At 46.2% G+C, this 18,121-nt stretch overlaps 1 annotated feature.

Moving 5' to 3' along the window:
* Nucleotides 15,323–16,522: an enhancer, noted in NCBI's record as "BRD4-independent group 4 enhancer chr20:49874837-49876036 (GRCh37/hg19 assembly coordinates)". NCBI's record gives its function as "activates an origin of replication core promoter dependent on BRD2, P300/CBP, MED14 and CDK7 cofactors, and independent of BRD4, by STARR-seq in HCT116 cells {active_cell/tissue: HCT116}" and the evidence as "EXISTENCE:reporter gene assay evidence [ECO:0000049][PMID:35650434]".

Below are 18,121 nucleotides of genomic sequence, written 5' to 3'. Positions count from 1 at the left end.
CCCATACGCAGTCCCGGCCGTTCAGATGGAGTTGCCCCCACCCCCAGTGAGAACACAGCATTTTCTTGGCCATAGGGACTGGTCAGCAATGGCCATGTGACTCCAGCTGGGGCCATGGACATTGAATCCCAGGACTTTTGTGGCAAGTTAATTAGCAGAGATGCTGTCTTTCTGTTAGCAACACCAAGTGAGGTAGATATAAGCCAGGAGGTGACAGCCATCTCCTCACAGCATGGGGACAGCCTGCCTGAGAATGAAGCCAGCACAGATGACAGCAGAACCCAGAGACAGAGAGAGACAGATCTCTAATGGTCTGGATCCAGCTTTACCTGAAGTACCCACTACCTCTGAGATGTTCAAAGACCCAAGCCAACAAGTTCCCTCTTGTGCCCTCTGACTTGTAGAGCAAGCATCAGTCAGTAGCTGATTAATGGAACCTGCAAAGAGGCAGCCAGTGGGGGAGAAGGGGTGGAGAGTGCCCTCTGTAGGGAGAGGGGTACCTTTCCCCAACTTTCCAACTCTGCTGAGGACAGAGTCTACCAGCCCCACCACCATCTTTTCCCACACTGTCCCATGGCAGATAAAAGCAACATTCTCCACCAGAAGGAGGAGAGCCCACAGAACTCCAGGGTAGACTAGACCAGAGAGCCAGCAGGGCTTTCTCTAGAAAAACCAGCGTGTTCCCAGATGGGGGGGTTCTCTCTGGAGGTACCCATCTGCTTTGAGAACCCTGCTTCCATTCACCCCAAGACTCAGGCAGCCTTAAAAATCTTTCAAGGCAAAAAATAAACCTAAGCTACTAGTCATATCTCTGGAGGAAAAAGAAGACTTCCTTAGCCTTCTCAAAGGTGCAAAACATTTCCAGCGTGCGGGATGCCTCCCACTTGCCATCCGTCCCCAGGCCTGCACCAGGCCCGCCTTCTGGATGCTGCAAACACCTAAGATGGTACCCAGGGGCCATATGGGGACTGCTCCTGTACTCTCCACTGTCAAGTGCTCACCTGAGCCCACAAAAAGAAACAGCATCAGAAAAATGGCCCTGTGGGGGTGCAGCCCAGCTCCCCAGGGCCACCTTCAGCGCAGAAACACAGCTGGGGATGCGAGGCACCAAAAAAGGCCTCATCCACATGACAGGTGTCAACTTCTCGGGAAGAGTGACAGCTCCAGCTCTCCTGGGATCTTTGACTTGAGACAGGCTCTCCCTGCTGCTGAGACCTGGGCTAGGGCCTGGCTGTTTGTAGGCTGAGTTGGAATTTGCTTGGCTCTCAACTCCCCTCTGGCTACAGCTCAAGAGATGCTCAAGAGATGGTCAAGAGATGGTCTCAAGAGGACATGAGGGCAAGCACCAGGCGAGAGCTGCCAGAATGTGGGTTTCCAAAAAACAGAGCCCAGCTCTGAATCTCGCCCAGGTGTTCAGCTCATCCTGGGGACATCTCTCTGCTGGCGAATCCTCAATCTCCACCTTCCTATGCACACCTGTCCCTCCAAACCCACAGCCCCACTTCCTCCTGCTGTACATCCCTGCAGAGACATCCTACAGACACCTCCAACTCAACACCTCCCTCACTAAACTCCCCGCTCCCCACACAAGCTCCTGCTCCTCCTCCTCCTGTGTTTCCTAGCTCAGTAACTGACATTTCTAATCACCCCCAAGTTTAGATAATTTCCCTGATTCCCCTCTCCTCACCTCTGAGTAGCAGTCATCAACTGCTGACTCTCCTTCCTAAATCTCTCATCCCACTGTGACTTCCAGCCCAGTCTTCTCTCGCCTGAATTGTTTCAGCAAGCTCCTCACGGGTTTCCCTGACTCCACGCATGCTTGCTCTCTGAAATTCTCCACTCAGTGGCCACACTGGATGTCCTGAAACACAGATCTCCTCCTGTCCCTGCTCTGTGCAAACCCCTGCAGCTGCAATCCTTTGCCAGCAGAACAAGTCTCACATCCTCACCATGGCTTGCAAGGCCTTTCCTGATCTGCTTTCTAGCCCGACAAAGAGAAGGTATTCAAACATTTCTTCTAAATCAGGCAAACTTTTTCTGTAAAGGCCCAGATCGTAAATATTTTAGGCTTTGTGGGCCATACGGTCTCTGTCGAAACTACTCAACTCTGCTGTTATAGTGAGAAAGCAGCTGTAGATGTTATGTAAGTGAATGGCTGTGGCTGTGTGCCAATAAAACTTTATTTATAGAAACAAGTAGTGGGCTGGATTTGACCCACAGGCTGTAGTTTGCCAACCCATGCTCTAAAGGAATGAGCCAATGACTCATCATCTCCACATCTCAGTTGCCTCGTCTAGAAAATGGGATAATGTTACCCCCATTGAAGGGTTGCTGGAGGATTAGAAAGAACACATCAAGTGCCTGGCAAGAGTCCAGCAAAGAGTCGGTGCTCACAGGGGATCACTATAATTAACACTATTATCATTGCTCTCCCTTCTGTATGTATAAAAATCCGTCAGCCCTGACTCCATAGAAAGGAGGATGGAAGGGTAGAGACCGTCTCTTCTCTGGAGTCTGATGGTTCACAACGTGTTTAAGGAGGATAACCAAACAGCTGAGCACCTCCTATATGCCAGGCACTGGGTTTCATGATGGAGAATGATCAAAATAAATCCTAAGGCAGTAGTAACCCCCGGAAGTCAAGTCTTAGAAGTCTAAGGAGTGGGAAAAAATTGCAAGAATTTGTTCAAACACCACTGCATGCCTGCTATGCGCCAGGCCTTGCGCAGGAACTAGGCTGCCCAGTGGAATACAAAGCAAGCTCTGTCTTTAAAGAGGTGTTGCCTAGAGAAACGATTTTCTCTTGCTTCCAAATTTCTGCCTGTCCCTGTCCCAGAAGCCACATTTTCGTCTCAGAGAGGAAACAGAGGCTCAGTGCCCCCTTGGGTTCCTCCAGAGCTCTCTAGGGAAGGCCTGAGTTACCCCCATCTTTTGTTTTTAACTTTTAAAAAAGTTTAAAAAGCAGTTGTGTTATATAGGTAAACTTATGTCATGGTTTATATAGGTAAACTTATATAGGTAATTTTATTTATAGGTTTATATATAGGTAAACTTTTATTTGTTACACATATTATTTCATTGCCCAGGTATTAAGCCTAGTAACCATTAGAAATTTTTCCTGATCCTCTCCCTCCCCCCACCCTTCAACCTCTGACCGGCCCCAGTGTCTGTTGTTCCCCTCTATGTGTCCATGTGTTCTCATCACTTAGCTCCCACTTATAAGTGAGAAAATGCAGTATTTTTCTGTTCCTGCATTAGTTTGCTAAGGATAATGGCCTCCAGCTCCATCCATGTTTCTGCAAAGGACATGACCACATTCTTTTTCATAGCTGCATAGTATTCCATGGTGTATCTGTCCTACATTTTCTTTATCTAGTCTACCACTTTAGGGCATTTAGGTTGAGTCTGTGTCTTTACTATTGCGAATAGTGCTGCAGTGAACATTTGTGTACATGTATCTTTATGGTAGAATGATTTATATTCCTCTGGGTATATACCCAGCAGTGGGATTGCTGGACCAAATAGTAGTTCTGTCTTTAGGTCTTTGGAGAATCACCACATTACTTTCCACAATGGTTGAACTAATTTACCCTCCCACCAACAGTGTATAAGCATGCTTTTTGTCCACAACCTCACCCCCCAATCTCCTTGATGGGAGGTAGGGTCCGACACTGAATGAAGCTAGCTCTCTCTGTTACCCAGGCAGGGCCTTTGCAGGGTCATGAAGCTGAGGAGCAAGAAGGGTGGGGATCCTGGGGTCCTGGGTCCCAGTGGCCCCTGACAGAAGGGCAGAGGCGATGTTGGCTTGTGAATGAGAACCTTCCCCATTGCTTTCCTCTAGCTGAGGGACACCACTCTCTGAGCCAATCCCAGCTCCCCTTTTGTCTGGGTTCTTTTCCCCCCATAAGGCAGTGCTCTAGCCCTGGGCACAGACTGCTAATTGTGCCCCTATATCCATTCTCTACTTGTCCCTCAACAGAGTCCCCAGTGTTTGCTGGAGCACACAGACACTCAAATCAAACTCACACCGGCCAGCCTCCTTGGCAGCCAGGCCTGGCCACGTGACTAAGTTCTGCCAGTGGGACGGCTTTGAGGGGAAATAATGCACCTCTTTACCATCTCCCTCTCCACTCTGGAGCACAGACGTGTGGGATGCCATCTTGAGCCATTCAGATGACAGAAGTACCCCAGGCAGCATGGAGCCACAACTGGGAAGGAGTCTGGGCCCCGACGCCATCAAGCCATTGTTCGAGCTCTGGACTGTCTCATCCAGACTCTCAGGTGACAGAGAAATAATCAACTGATTCAGCTACTGTTTTTCTGGTTTCTTTGTAACAACGACTGCATTTAAATCCTAACTAATGTTAAGTATCAAGAAGGGTAGCCTGTGTTCACCAGCCCAACAGAGGGTCCCATCCATTGCACTGTGCAATACTTTACGGTTTCATGAAACTATTGCTCACTGAGCACCTCCTACATGCTGGGCACTGAGTCAGATGGTCAGGAAGCTACTGATAAATCAAAGTCTTGCTTCCCAATTAGGAAGGACGGAAAGAAGAATAACAATGAAGATATACAGAGTATTTCACTATGCACACACACACACACGTGCACACACACACACACACACACACACACACACAGGCTTATGGGATATAGTCTATAAATATTCCCATTGGACAGATGTGAAAACTGAGGTCTAGAAAGGTTAAGGTGTCCAATAGCTAATAAGTGGTCGACTATAAATTCAAAACCAGACAGTCTGACTCCAATTGCTTCCCCGTCAATCCTCCAGTAACTATGTAAAGAAACACATTACAGGCTGATTTATCCTCCATACTATCACCATTGCCCCAAGGAAACATAATAGAGTTAACATGTGTTGAGCCCTCACTTGGAACCTGGTGCTATGCTCAGTGTTTTCCACGCATTGCATCTTTTCTCCCCATCTATAGCTCTGGGAGACCAGAGCCATTATAATCCTGATGTGAAAGATAACAAAACCAATGCAGAAATTACAAGAAGCTGGCCCAAGTTTACCAAGCAAGTTCGCGCCTGACTGTCATAAGGGCTGGAGGGATTTTTGTCTTCCTGCTTTTTATATCTGTAGACTAGGGGCTAGGGCACACCAGAGACCCAGCCCAGCTCTGTGCCTCATCCTTATTCCAGGCCAAACAGGAATAAAGCTCATACCTGTCCCCTGGGCTGAGCACTCCTTAAAGCCAGGCCCCGTCTATCGTGTGTCCTTGTGTTCCCAGCACAGGGCCTTCCCCAGCGTGTGCTGTGAGAATGGGGTAACCTATTTGCTTCCATTCTTCCCATCCATGGCCAAGTGCAGTGGACACCTCTGTGTGCTGTAGACAACTCTTGCTTTTGTCCCAGCAGCCCCTCACCTTTCTTCTGGTGACAGTGTCTTCAGTGTCTGAGTAAATCAACAATTGGGCTCAACCAAAGAGATAAAGCAGGCCAGCTGTGGTGGTTCACACCTGTAATTGCAGCACTTTGGGAGGCTGAGGTGGGTGGATCACCTGAGGTCAAGAGTTTGACACCAGCCTGGCCAACGTGGTGAAACCCTGTCTCTACTAAAAATACAAAAAATTAGCCAGGCGTGGTGGTGGGCACCTGCAATCCCAGCTATTCAGGAGGCTGAGGCAGGAGAATTGCTAGAACCTCAGAGGTGGAGGTTGTAGTGAGCCGAGATCGCACCACTGCACTCCAGCCTGGGCAACAAGAGCGAAACTCCCTCTCGAAAACAAATATGATCAAAGCCCAAACTAATCAAAACATAACATCCCCCTTGGCCACAGCGGTTGGTTCTGAGATTGGCCACCTGAGCCAATGACACAGAAGGACCCCACAGGTCGTTCTCACTTACTGGGCACATACAAGGATGTGCAGGTGGGGGTTGCTGTCCTCATCTTTCTCCCAGGCAGAGCAAGGGATGGAAGCCAACCCCGAGAAAGGCAGGGCAGAGGGATGGTGAGAAGCTGCTCTTCTGTTCACATCATCTGTGTCCCTGAAGAACACATCCTTGGGGGTTTTCATGCACATAAAGCAATCAATTCTTTCTTTTTTTTTTTTTTTTGGCATATGCAATTTTGCAACCACTTTTCTGTCCCATTTGAACCAAACATGTTCTAATGGATACTCTGCTTGGAGCCCGTCTCCTGCTTTCAATAATGATGCCAACTTACCTTTTAAGGAAAAAAGCTTCCCCTCCTCCCTATGACTTTTGTATACCAAAGCCCAGTTGGGCCTATGAATAGGTTTGTCATCTGGTATTTTGACCTGTTCATTCACAGCCGCATTGCTTCAAGGAGGAGGATTAAGTATGACAACACTGTCTGGAGAACTAGCGTTGGGGTTTAATCACAGCTGGCCTCACATCTTATTCAGATTCATATCCACGCATCTCATTTTTCAATGAGATTGAAGGTTCTATGAGGTAAGAGTCATGTCCTATAGATTCGACAAACAATAATTAAGTGCCTGAGGTGTCCTAGACACTGACTGGAAGCTGGGAACACAGAGGATAATAAAAGAGGTCACTGTCCTCTCTAAGGCAGATATGAAAGCAGATCATTGCAGATAGAAATGCATCGTGACAGGAAGTTTTGAGTTCCAAGTGGCCGAGAAATGCAACTTAAACTGGCTGGGGCAATGTAGAAGATTTGTTTCATGCAAATAGAAAGAGCAGGTAAGATCCAGCTTCTGGACTGGATGACCCAATGGCTTAACAATGCCATCTGTGATTTTAACGCCAACTGTGACCATCTCTCAGCACAGCCATGCCAGCAGCCTCCTCAGCAGGGCCAGCTGCATCCCAGGGGCGACACCTTTCCCCATCTACATCCCGGGAAACGGGGGCCCAAACTAGATGCACCCTGATTAGACCTTCAAGGTCACATGCTTGCTCATGAACCAGTGACTGGGCAGAAAAATGAACTGCGTGGATGCCTGTAAACCAATCAGGGCCTACCATGGAAGCAAGGGGGTGGAGTCAGCTTGCTCCAAAGCAAGTAGGTTACATAAGCCCACTGTCTACCCTTAGAGACAAAAATGGTACCAGATTCCCCTGAGCTGACACCAGAAGCCTCTCCTGTGTCCATCACTGGGCTGCACCGGTGGTGCGTACTGTCACTTCATGGTCACAATAATATCGGCGGAAGCAGCACCTAATGTTTATGAAACGCTTCCCAGTGCCAGATTCTAGTGTTCCGCATTCGCAATCTCATTTTACCAGAGTTAGGGAGCATGGTTACCTCCCGTTTTGCAGATTAGGAAACTGAGGTCTGGAGAGGGAAAGTAGGCTGGCCAAAGTTATTGGCCTGAAGTTTTTTTGTTGTTTTTTTTTTTTTTTTTTTTGAGATGGAGTTTCGCTCTTGTTGCCCAGGCTGGAGTGCAATGGCACGATCTCGGCTCACCGCAACCTCTGCCTCCCAGGTTCAAGCAATTCTCCTGCCTCAGCCTCCCGAGTAGCTGGGATTACAGGCATGAACCACCACGCCCGGCTAATTTTGTATTTTTAGTAGAGACGGGGTTTCTCATGTTGAGGCTGGTCTCGAACTCCTGACCTCCAGGTGATCCGCCCGCCTCGGCCTCCCTAAGTGCTGGGATTACAGGCGTCAGCCACCCCGCCCGGCCGGCCTGAATTTAAAAATCAAAGTGGCAGCCTGTTGTCCTCGGTTCCTTAGTGTTGGAAAGGGTCTAGTCACATCCTTGTGCTGGGTGCTTGGCTGGGTGGATGGGGCTTTAAGGGAGACAGAAAACAGAAACCGCCTCTCCACTGCGCATCACATTTGCTGTTAAAAGAATTCCGCATGCTTCACAAGGGCTGCCTCCAGAGTCCTTTGCAAATCCCCAAATTGGCAATTCCTGCTACTGTATTTAATTTCCCACTAAACTGCAGAAAAATTTAACAGAAAAACTTCAGTGTCCCCTTCAGACTGCACGATGCTCTAAATGAACATTAATTCTGCCGCAAAAATAAGCTCAACACCACCTTACATTGCACTATTTGCATGAGAACACTGAACATTACTTTCTAGAATCTACACAGTCAACTCTAGCTGTTGACTTTCTCCAGGGGCGTGGGAGAGGTATGTTTCACCAACGATGTCACTTTAGGGCAGGTACAGCGTGCATGACTGCATGGCCCACAGAAGCAGGACCCAACAATGACAGTGGCTCAGTGGATCCAGGAGCAGTCCTCTGGCCACGTGGCCTTCTCTCTTGCTTTCCTATTGAAACCTGCACGTGCCCATGTGTTAGAGACACGAGTTTGCAACTCTGGCCTTGGATAAATTCTTAGCGTCTGCAACCTCAGCTAGGTCTACATCTTTTCTGGGACAAAAATTCCAAGGAGTCCCTATTCCCTCAGTAAATACCTCCCTCTAATGGGTGGGGGCTAGGGTTGGACAAGGGTAGGTTTGGGGGAGAGTGAGGAAGAAGTTCCACAGGACAGGTTTCCACCTAACAGAGCAGGGCACTTTGTATTGGAAGGTCATGGAAGCTGAGGCTGGAGGTTCGCTTGCTCTCCTCTTTCTGGACTCGAATGAGTTGTCATTTGCCTCTGCTGGAAGCAGTTGGTCTCACTTTCTGCTGAATTCCTGGACTCATTTATCGGCCTTGCCTCCTAGAGTGTTTTATTTTCTTCGTAAACTGCCTTTACTTTATTAAGATTCATCTCTAATTGATCTTTTCTGTACAGAGGCTACCCATGAGAAGCTGCCCAGCAGAGCTAATAAATAAAGGCAGGAGGAACATGAGTTGGGATATCGGTAGCACCCAGCAAGTGGCCACCATTATTATGACCTTGTGTACATTTTTAAATCTCTGTGCCTCAGTTTCCTCATCTGTAAAGTGAGGATAGCAATAATGCATGATCTCATAGGGTGAGGCTTAAATAAGCTGTTGTAGGAAAAACACTTAAAACAATGGCTGCCCCATAGAAAAGACCCAGGAATGTTAGCTATCAAATAATTCAGTACTGAAATAATGGAATAATGAAGAGACAGTATGGCATGATGAAAACGACATGGTCTGTAATTTCATATAATCCATGTCTAGGTTTTACCACTTATTAGCTCTCAGCAGAAAAGTTCTCCCCACTCTATGAGCCTAAGTTTCATTTTCTCCAAATGGGAATAATGATTGTACGGCCTCCTGGGGTTGCTGGCAAGGTTCATTAACTTTAAATGTCTCACTGTGCAAAAGCCAGTCACCACAGCAGGCCTGACTGCAAGGCTTGGCCTGGGGCTGGCATCTGGGAAGGTGGATTTCAAGAGAGTTCCCACCACTTCCTGACAAGAGTAGTTCACTGTGACTAAACCATTTGCACAAACAGCATGGTTTATGCTGGACACCTGCTTTCCTTCTGGGAATGTTGTCACATCCCAGGCAGATGGTGTCTATGTGACCAGCCCCCAATAAAAACCCTGGACACTGAGTCTCTAATGAGCAGTTCACAGGTGTTGTTACAATTCATTGCTAAGGAAATCCTGTGTGTCCTGGGCAGCTCTAGGGGGAGAGAGCTCTGTAAGCTTCCACCTGGCTTCTTCTGTACTTAGTTCTCAGTGCCTTTTCCATGTACTGATTTTGCTCGGTATCCTTTCACTATAAAAGTCATAGCCATGTGCAAAACTATATGCTGAGTCTTATGAGCACTCCTGGAAAATAACAGAATCTGGGAGGGTTCTTATGGATACCCCGACACTCACCTGTGCCATACTTGTCCCATGATGAGTCCTTGGTGAGTGGAAGCATTAAATGGAAGTGTCCACAGTGGTCACTGACTCATTGTCCTTACTTGTGAGGCTCAAATAAGAGATGTCTCCTCTAAAAGCAACTTAATTTTTGTTTTTTTAAAAAATGCAAAAAGAAATGTACTTGCATGGACCCAGAACGTAAGGGTGACAAGGATGAACATATGCAAGAGAGGACTCATAGCCTCTTTTATCTTAAATACCAAAGACAATCCTACCAGCTTTGTCTTTTCTCTCATCTTCCACCCTCTGAGAAGGAATCCTGTCTGATTGATTACTGGACCTTTTCTTTATCAATTGAGATAGTCAATAAGGGAGATGAGATGAGGAGGGACTCGTGGGAATTACAGTAGAAAACGAGAAAACTAAAAACTACTAGGGGGAGAAGAATAGATTTAGGGAAATAAGAAAGAGGAATCAAAAATGAAAGAGCCCATGAAGGTTGGATTAGAGATAGGGTTTTTGTTTGTTTCATGTTGTATAAATGTGGAAATGAAAAACAGAAAATAACTTCGTGGCAGCTATTGTGTGTTGAAGAAAGAAGAATTGGAAAAGAACTTTTAAAAAGAGGTTTTATTATATATTATGGATGGGTTCCTTCTTTGATATGCTATTCAGAAGGCTCCAATAAAGATTCAAATTACCCTAAATTAGTTTGGGGTTGGTAAACAATTTTTTTTTTATAGACTGTGTATCAGGCTGGACCACAGGGCAAACAGGCTTTATATGCATTGCAGAATCCATAGTTATATGACAGCTATCAGTCACATTCTCAATCTCTCAATCTCTCACTCTCTCTCTCTCTCTCACACACACACACACACACACACACACACACACACACACACACACACACACAGTAAGTGATATGGTTTGGCTGTGTTCTCACCCAAATCTCATCTTGAATTGTAACTCCCATAATCCCCATGTTTTGCATGTTTCGTGGGAGGGACCCAGTGGGAGGTAACTGAGTCATGGGGGCGGGTTTTCCTGTGCTGTTCTCGTGATAGTGAATAAGTCTCATGAGATCTGATGGTTTTATAAAGGGCAGTTCCCCTGCACATGTTTTCTTGCTGCCCCCATGTAAGATGTGCCTTTGCTCCTCCTTCACCTTTTGCCATGATTGTGAGGCCTCCCCAGACATGTGGAACTGAGTCCATTAAACCTCTTTTTCTTTATAAATTACCCCATCTCAGTTATTTCTTCATAGCAGTATGAAAATGGACTAATACAGTAAGCTACTTCAGAATCTGCCAAATTATATTTACTATTACTAATTAATTTTCTTCGCTCAGCCAGATTTATTCTCAACCTGCCCCATTTGAAAATTTTCTCTCCTCTGACTAGTATAACTTGCCATTATTCATTGAGGATCTTCAGAACCCAGAGCAAGAAGAGAGGGAAGATAGAGGAATGAGGTTACTCTCACACCTAGACTCAGATGCCTGGGCTGGTTCAGTGATGTCAAGTTCAAGTTCAGTGATGGCCTGTTCAGTGATGTCCTCAGTGTATATCCTCAAGCCCTCTTTGTCTGAGGCTCAGAAAGGCTCTCACCTTCTAAACTCTGTGAAACCGTGATTTCTGAAAGTTCAGGCCTCTTGGATCTCTGAATTTCAAAACAGTTAGTGACACATGCAAGAACAAGATCAAAATTTCTTAAGGGGAAAAAGAACCTGAAACAGACATTGAGAGGGCAAACATCTCACATTAGATTCTGGAATTAAAGAAAAAGTAGTAACATATGCACAACATCATCCCTTAAAAGCTCCTAAGTTTAGATAAGAAAGAAGACCAAACGCTCCAAAGGAGACTGCCAGATTTATTTTCAAGGCAGAATGTAATTTATGCAAGTTAAAGGTATCAAATGTTATTGGAACAGGCATTTCACAAAGCCAATACCCCAAATGGCTGTAAACATATGAAAAACTGCTCAGCTTCATTATTTATCAGGGAAATGCAAATTAAAACCATAAAATGATACAAGTACACATCCACCTGAAAGGTTAAGGTGAAAACATCACACATTAAGGAAGTGAAGCAACTGGAACATGCATCCACTGCTGGTCATGGGGAGGGAGAGATGCAACTGGTACCACCACTTTGCAAAACTGTTTGGCAGCATCTTCTAAAGCTGAACAGATGTATAAGTTTCAACCCAGCAATCCTACCTCTTGGAACATACCCAACAGAAATGTGGACACGTTCAACAAACACACGTACAAGAATGTTCACGGCAGCACTATGCGTAAGTCGTCCCAAACTAAAGCCTACCTTGAAGTTCATCAGTAGATGAGATGAACAAATGGTGGTATATTCACACAACAGAATACTGTAGAGCACGGAGCTGGCAAACTATGTTTGTAATCCAGGCTGCCAATTTTTGTAGATAAAGTTTCATTCATCGAAACTTTATTTACAAAATAAAGTTCATTCGATGAATGAGACTTACAAAATTTTATTTACAAAATTCAGCTCCATTCATTGATTTAAATATTTCCTATGGCTGCTTTCATGTCATAACAGAAAAATTGAGCTGGGACAGAGATCAAAGGACCAGTGATGCTTCAAATATTTACTGTCGCTCTTTACAAAAAGAGTTTGCTGACCCCTGCCTTATATCAATGAGAGCAAACGACGTACAGCTACGTGTGTTGTTGATAAGGACGCATCTCACAGTGTTGAATGAGAGAAACCAGGCACTAGAGAGCACAAGTTATTTGGTTCCGTTTCCATGAAGTTAAAAGTAGGCAAAATTACGCCCTGAAGTGGGTGTGAGAAGTCAGGATAGACATTGCCCTGGGAAGCACGGTGACTGGAAAGGGACCTGAAGGTTCACGGGTTCCTGGTTGTGTTCTGTTTCTGGATCCATATGTGTGTGACCTGGATGTGTTCTCTTGGTGAGAATTCATCGAGCTTTGTACTTAGGCCACGCACACTTGTCTCTATGTTTATGATATTTTAGTGGAAAATCTTTTAAAAATGCTATTGGACTCCCTGCACTCTACCTTAAAACTCCAAGCCATTTCCCCTGCTCTCTCATTTGTGTCTTCCTTCACACAAGCTGATATTCCCCTGAAATGCACTCCTCCTGCTCCCTTTGATAAAATGTGATGGAGCAAGTGAGGGAAGAGAGAGACCCTCTCATATTGTTTTATATTGTTTTATACTCAGTACCTGTTTTAAGAAAAAAACAAGGAAGTGAAATCAAAGACAGGCAGCCCCGCGCCAGGCCCAAAACCGGACCTAGGCCTGCCTGGCCTAAACCTAGTAGTTAAAAATCAACTCATGACTTAGAAACCGATATTATCCATAGATTCCCGACATTGTATGAAGGAACATTGTGATACTCCCTGCCCTGTTCTGTTTCACTCTGACTACCAGGGCATGAAACCTCTGTCACATATCCCCTAGATTGCTCAATCAATCACGACCCTTTCATGTGAAGTCTGTAGCATTGTGAGCCCTTAAAAGGGACAGAAATTGTGCACTTGAGGAGCTCGGATTTTAAGACAGTAGCTTGCCGATGCTCCCAGCTGAATAAAGCCCTTCCTTCTACAACTCAGTGTCTGAGAGGTTTTGTCTGTGGCTCGTCCTGCTACACAAGGACCCCTCTTAGGAGCCCGCTGGGCTTCCCCAGGCATGGAATGAAAGGAAAACCTTGAGTTCCTTCAAGGGAAATTCCAGGCACCTCACTAGCTTTGAAAATTAAATGAGCAACCTGATACGTGAGAAGGTAATAATAGCTGAAAATAATAGCCCAGGAAGTTAGAGCCACAAAATGTTCGGCTTCCTATAGAAACTAAGGATAACATCTCCATATATGTCCCTGAATTATTTTTCAGAAACCCAGACCCCCATCACATGGAAGATGGCATCTGCTGGCACAGAGACCTCAGATAAGAAGGAACCAAGGACTGAATGGTGACCCTCCCATTCTTTGTTCTAAATTTCTGCCCGAGAGGCCTGGAGGAAGTCATATTCAGAGCCCAGGGCTTAACATTCCTTTCTGTTGACCCCAACTTTTTAGAAAAACTTTTGCTTCCTTAATCAAACACAAATGAAAGAATCTTTGAATTCACCTTTGACTTGTAGACCCTGCTGGAGATGCTTTGCTTTTTTAAGTTAAACCAATGTGCAACTTCCATGTGTCAGTTTATGACTTTGCCTGTAATTCTGTCTCCTCACCTTGAAAAACACTTACAATGTAAGCCATGGGGAAGTTCAGGTTTTAGGCATTAGCTGCCTCATTCCGCTTGCCTGGAGCCCTGCAATCAATGCCTCACTTTCTCTCGCTGCAAATCCTGATGTCAGGGTTTGGCTTTGCTGCACCGAGGTGGGTGGACTCAAGCTTGGTTCGGTAACAAGAACAATGCAGACTCATCCTTCAAATCTCAGTGCGCTGTCTCCTGCTCAGGTCACCTTCCTGCCATGCCCCAGGGCTCATAGGTAATCCAGGGAAGCGGGCAGAGAGATCTCCAAGAGGGTGACACTGGACCTTAAGTGAATTTGGAGAAATAAAAGAGGTGTCACTGGTTGAATCTTGAGTGTCTGTCACACAAGAGAGGCTAGGTTGGCCACTCTCGAGGAATTCAGCTGTTTGTAGCTTAGTTTAATCCAGGCTTAAGCCATCAGTTGGGGGCAGCTTAGTTTGGTGGGCAGAACATCAGGCAAATCTGGAAAAAAGAGCTGCGTAGCAGCCAGGACATAGTGAAATTAAAGGGACTAAGGTGCCACCTCTAACTGGCTGCAGAAAAGTGAGGAATTCATCGTTTGGCATAACTGAGAAACCCAGGGGGAGGTGATTGTAACCATAATAGGTTCATTGCCCTACACACACAACCAGTCCATACACCAAGACACCGGCTTGCAGCAGAGAAAGAGGTTTCATCATAGGGTCATTGAATGAGGTGATGGGAGAAAACCTCAACTCCACCTCCCCTAGGAATCTGGGGTTCAGGTTTTGGAGTAGGCCAAAGTACAGGTATCATTGATTGGTCGAGGAGTGCAGGGTGAAGTCATGGGTGAGGGAGAGGAAGAAGCTGTATTCTCACGTGGATCCCTTTCTGTAACCACCCAATGGGTTCACCTTGCCTGCTGCCTAGACAGAACCGATTTATCAAGACAGGGGAATTGCAATGGTGAGAGGGTAATTCACACAGAGCTGGCTGTGCAAGAGACCAGAGCCTTGTTATTACTCAAATCAGTCTCCCTAAGCATTTGGGGATCAGAGTTTTTAAAGATAATTTGGCAGTTAGAGGCTTGGGAAGTGGGGAGAGCTGATTAGTCAGGTTGGAGATGGAATCAGCGGGGGTCGAAGGAGGTTTTCTTGCCGTCTTCTGTTCCTGGGTGGGATGGCGGAACTGGTTGAGCCAGTTCAGCTGATCCATCCAGTGCAGGGTCTGCAAAATACCTCAGGCACTGATCTTAGATTTTACAATAGTGATGTTTTCTCCAGGAGCAATTTGGGGCAATTAAGACTCTTGAAGCCAGAGGCTGCATGAGCCCTAAACTGTACTTTCTAATCTTGTAGCTAATTTGTTAGTCCTGGAAAGGCAAACTAGACCCCAGGCAAGAAGGGGGTCTTTTCAGGAAAGGGCTGTTACCAATTTTGTTGCAGAGTCAAACCACGAACTGAATTCCTTCCCAAAGTTAGTTTAGCCCACGCCCAGGAATGAACAAGGACAGCTTAAAGGTTAGAAGCAAGATGGAGTCAGTCAGGTCTTATTTCTTTCACTGTCATAATTTCCTCAGCTATAATTTTGCAAAGCCGATTTTGTTTCTTCTCTGGGGGTCTTCAAACTGGTCGCTGGAATTCAGGTCTGAAATACATCTGAATTAAATAAAAGCCTTATGATTCTAATGTCCGGGATCTCGCCTATAGGAACAATGGTATGCAAATGATCAGTATCTAGTGCTAAGTGACTTTTAGTAACAAGGAAGTGGGCCTAAGGGCAGCCTGATGAATGCTTAATTATAATTATTTCTGTCCAGAACCCAGGATGCAATTGTCAACCCTGTGGAGACAGTTTCACAATGGTTTCAGTTGGGGCTGGATCCAGCATTGTGAACGATGTCATCAAGAATTCCAGGAATCAGTCTTTTCTCTCTTTGTGGCTCTGCCTGCCGCAGGTTTCATTCTCTGACAGGAGTTGACTATGGTAACTCCAGCAGCCCCATGCTTATGTCTTTAAGTCCAATGGAAAGAATGGGTTTTCTCTTTCCTAAAAGTTCAAGAGAAGAGGCAGAACCAGGCTTCCTTTGTTTGGATCACATGCTACCCACCACTCCCCACCATGGAATCTTTGTAATCAGGGGATGGAATGCGGTGCTTGCCCAGGCCTGAGTCAAGCCTTGCCTTGCCCTGAAGCAGGTGATGAGAAGAGTCAGACCCATCAACCCCTGTACACAACTCCCCACATCCTTGGGATCTCCAAGAGGATGAGTGACTTTCTGTATGCTAATGAGTTGACTGATGGCAGGGGGATCCTGGACAGACTATGGATGGGGGCTGGTTGCCGGGGGTACCAACCATGTGATTAGAGGGTTGACAGTTTCAGCTCCACCCAACTGGACCTCTGGGGAGGGCTGGGGAGGGGGCTGAATGTTGAGTTGAGTTGATCACCAAGGCCAAGAAGGTAATGAATCGTGCTTCCATAATGAAGCTTCCGTAAAACCCCACAAGGACCGGGTTCAGGGAGCTTCAGACAGCTGAACACATGGAGGTCCCTGGAGGGTGGTGCCTGGAGAGGACATGAGAGCTCCACATCCCTTCCTTATACTCCACCCTCTGCATCTCATTATCTGTATCCCTTGTAATATCCTTGTAATACACTGGTAACGTTAGCGGTGGAAGAGATCCGAGTTACCCCGAGTTACTGGTGGCAAATCTGTAGGGGTCTGCAGGAACTTCAGTCCTTGCCTCTTCAGAAGAAAGAATTAGACTGACGTGCATAAAGCAGAAAACGAGACCAAGGCAAGTTTCAGAGCAGGAGTGGAAGTTTGTTTAAAAAGGCTTTAGAACAGGAAAGCAAGGAAAGTTCACTTAGAAGAGATCCAAGAGGGTGCCTGAAGGTCAAAGAGAGAAGAGAGCATTTAACTTTCATCCTAGCACTTTCTTTTTTTTCTGAGACGGAGTCTCATTCTGTCACCCAGGCTGGAGTGCAGTGGCACAATCTTGGCTCACTGCAAGAGCCACCTCCCAGGTTCACACTATTCTCCTGCCTCAGCCTCTCGAGTAGCTCGGACTACAGTAGGTGCCTGCCACCACACCTGGCGGATTTTTTGTATTTTTAGTAGAGACGGGGTTTCACCGTGTTCGCCAGGATGGTCTCATCTCCTGACCTCACGATCCGCCTGCCTCGGCCTCCCAAAATGTTAGGATTACAGGCATGAGCCACCACGCCCGGCCCATCCTAGCACTTTCCAGGCTTGCCTCTTTCCCATGATTCTTTCCTTAGGGTGGGCTACCCGCATGCGTGCAGTGTTCTCCCTACCCTTGGGAACTGAGCATGTGCAGTGTGTTTAGGAAGTTGTATGCGTGCCCATCTGAGGTTTTCTTCCCTTTCCCAGTGGTAAGCTCCTGGAACATCATACTTTGCCATCTTGTCTCGTAGTGAGCATGCCCAGGAAGTTTCTTCTCCCTGGTGTCTATATTCAGTTAACACTTTCAATGTCAATAGTTGTGGATCATCAGGAGATTGTGTCTCCCTGTGGCTGCAAATGATCATTTTTAGTGATAAAATGATAATCATCAGACCATCACCTGATATTCCTAGTGGGTATGGGGAGAGCCCTCTCCTGCCCCACTCATGCCTATCTAACTACCTGTAACAGTAAACATAAGTAAGTGTTTCCCTGAGATGTGTGAGCTACTCTAGCAAATTAATCGAATCTAAGGGGGAGGGGAATCTCAATTTATAGCCAGTGATCACAAGCAAAGGTAAAACACCAGGGGCTTGCAATTGGTATTGAAGTGAGGCAGGCACAGTCTTGTGGGACTCAGCCCTCAACCTGTGCAATCTGACACTATCTCCAGGTAGTGTGGGAATTGAACTGAATTAGAGGACACATAGCTGGTGTCCACTGCAGAATTGGTTATTTGCTTGCTGTATGGGGGTAAACCCACATACATTTGGTGTCAGAAGCCTTTTGTGTTGTAAGAGCCAAGGATAGGAGAAACTGAGTTTTATTTTTCCTATATTCTCAGAGTCCAAGCAGGTCAAAACTACAGCCCCACCTTGCACTGCTTATTAACTGTTGAAACTGACTTTGCAAAACTTATAACAGTGAGAAAATTATGATACAGAAGAGATCTGACCTAACCAACTCCATCTTGTGTTTAACCTCCAAACCACCCT

This window comes from Homo sapiens, chromosome 20 (assembly GCF_000001405.40).
Source record: "Homo sapiens chromosome 20, GRCh38.p14 Primary Assembly".
In the NCBI taxonomy this organism is placed as follows: domain Eukaryota; kingdom Metazoa; phylum Chordata; class Mammalia; order Primates; family Hominidae; genus Homo; species Homo sapiens.
This window is presented reverse-complemented; position numbering and strand designations above follow the sequence as displayed.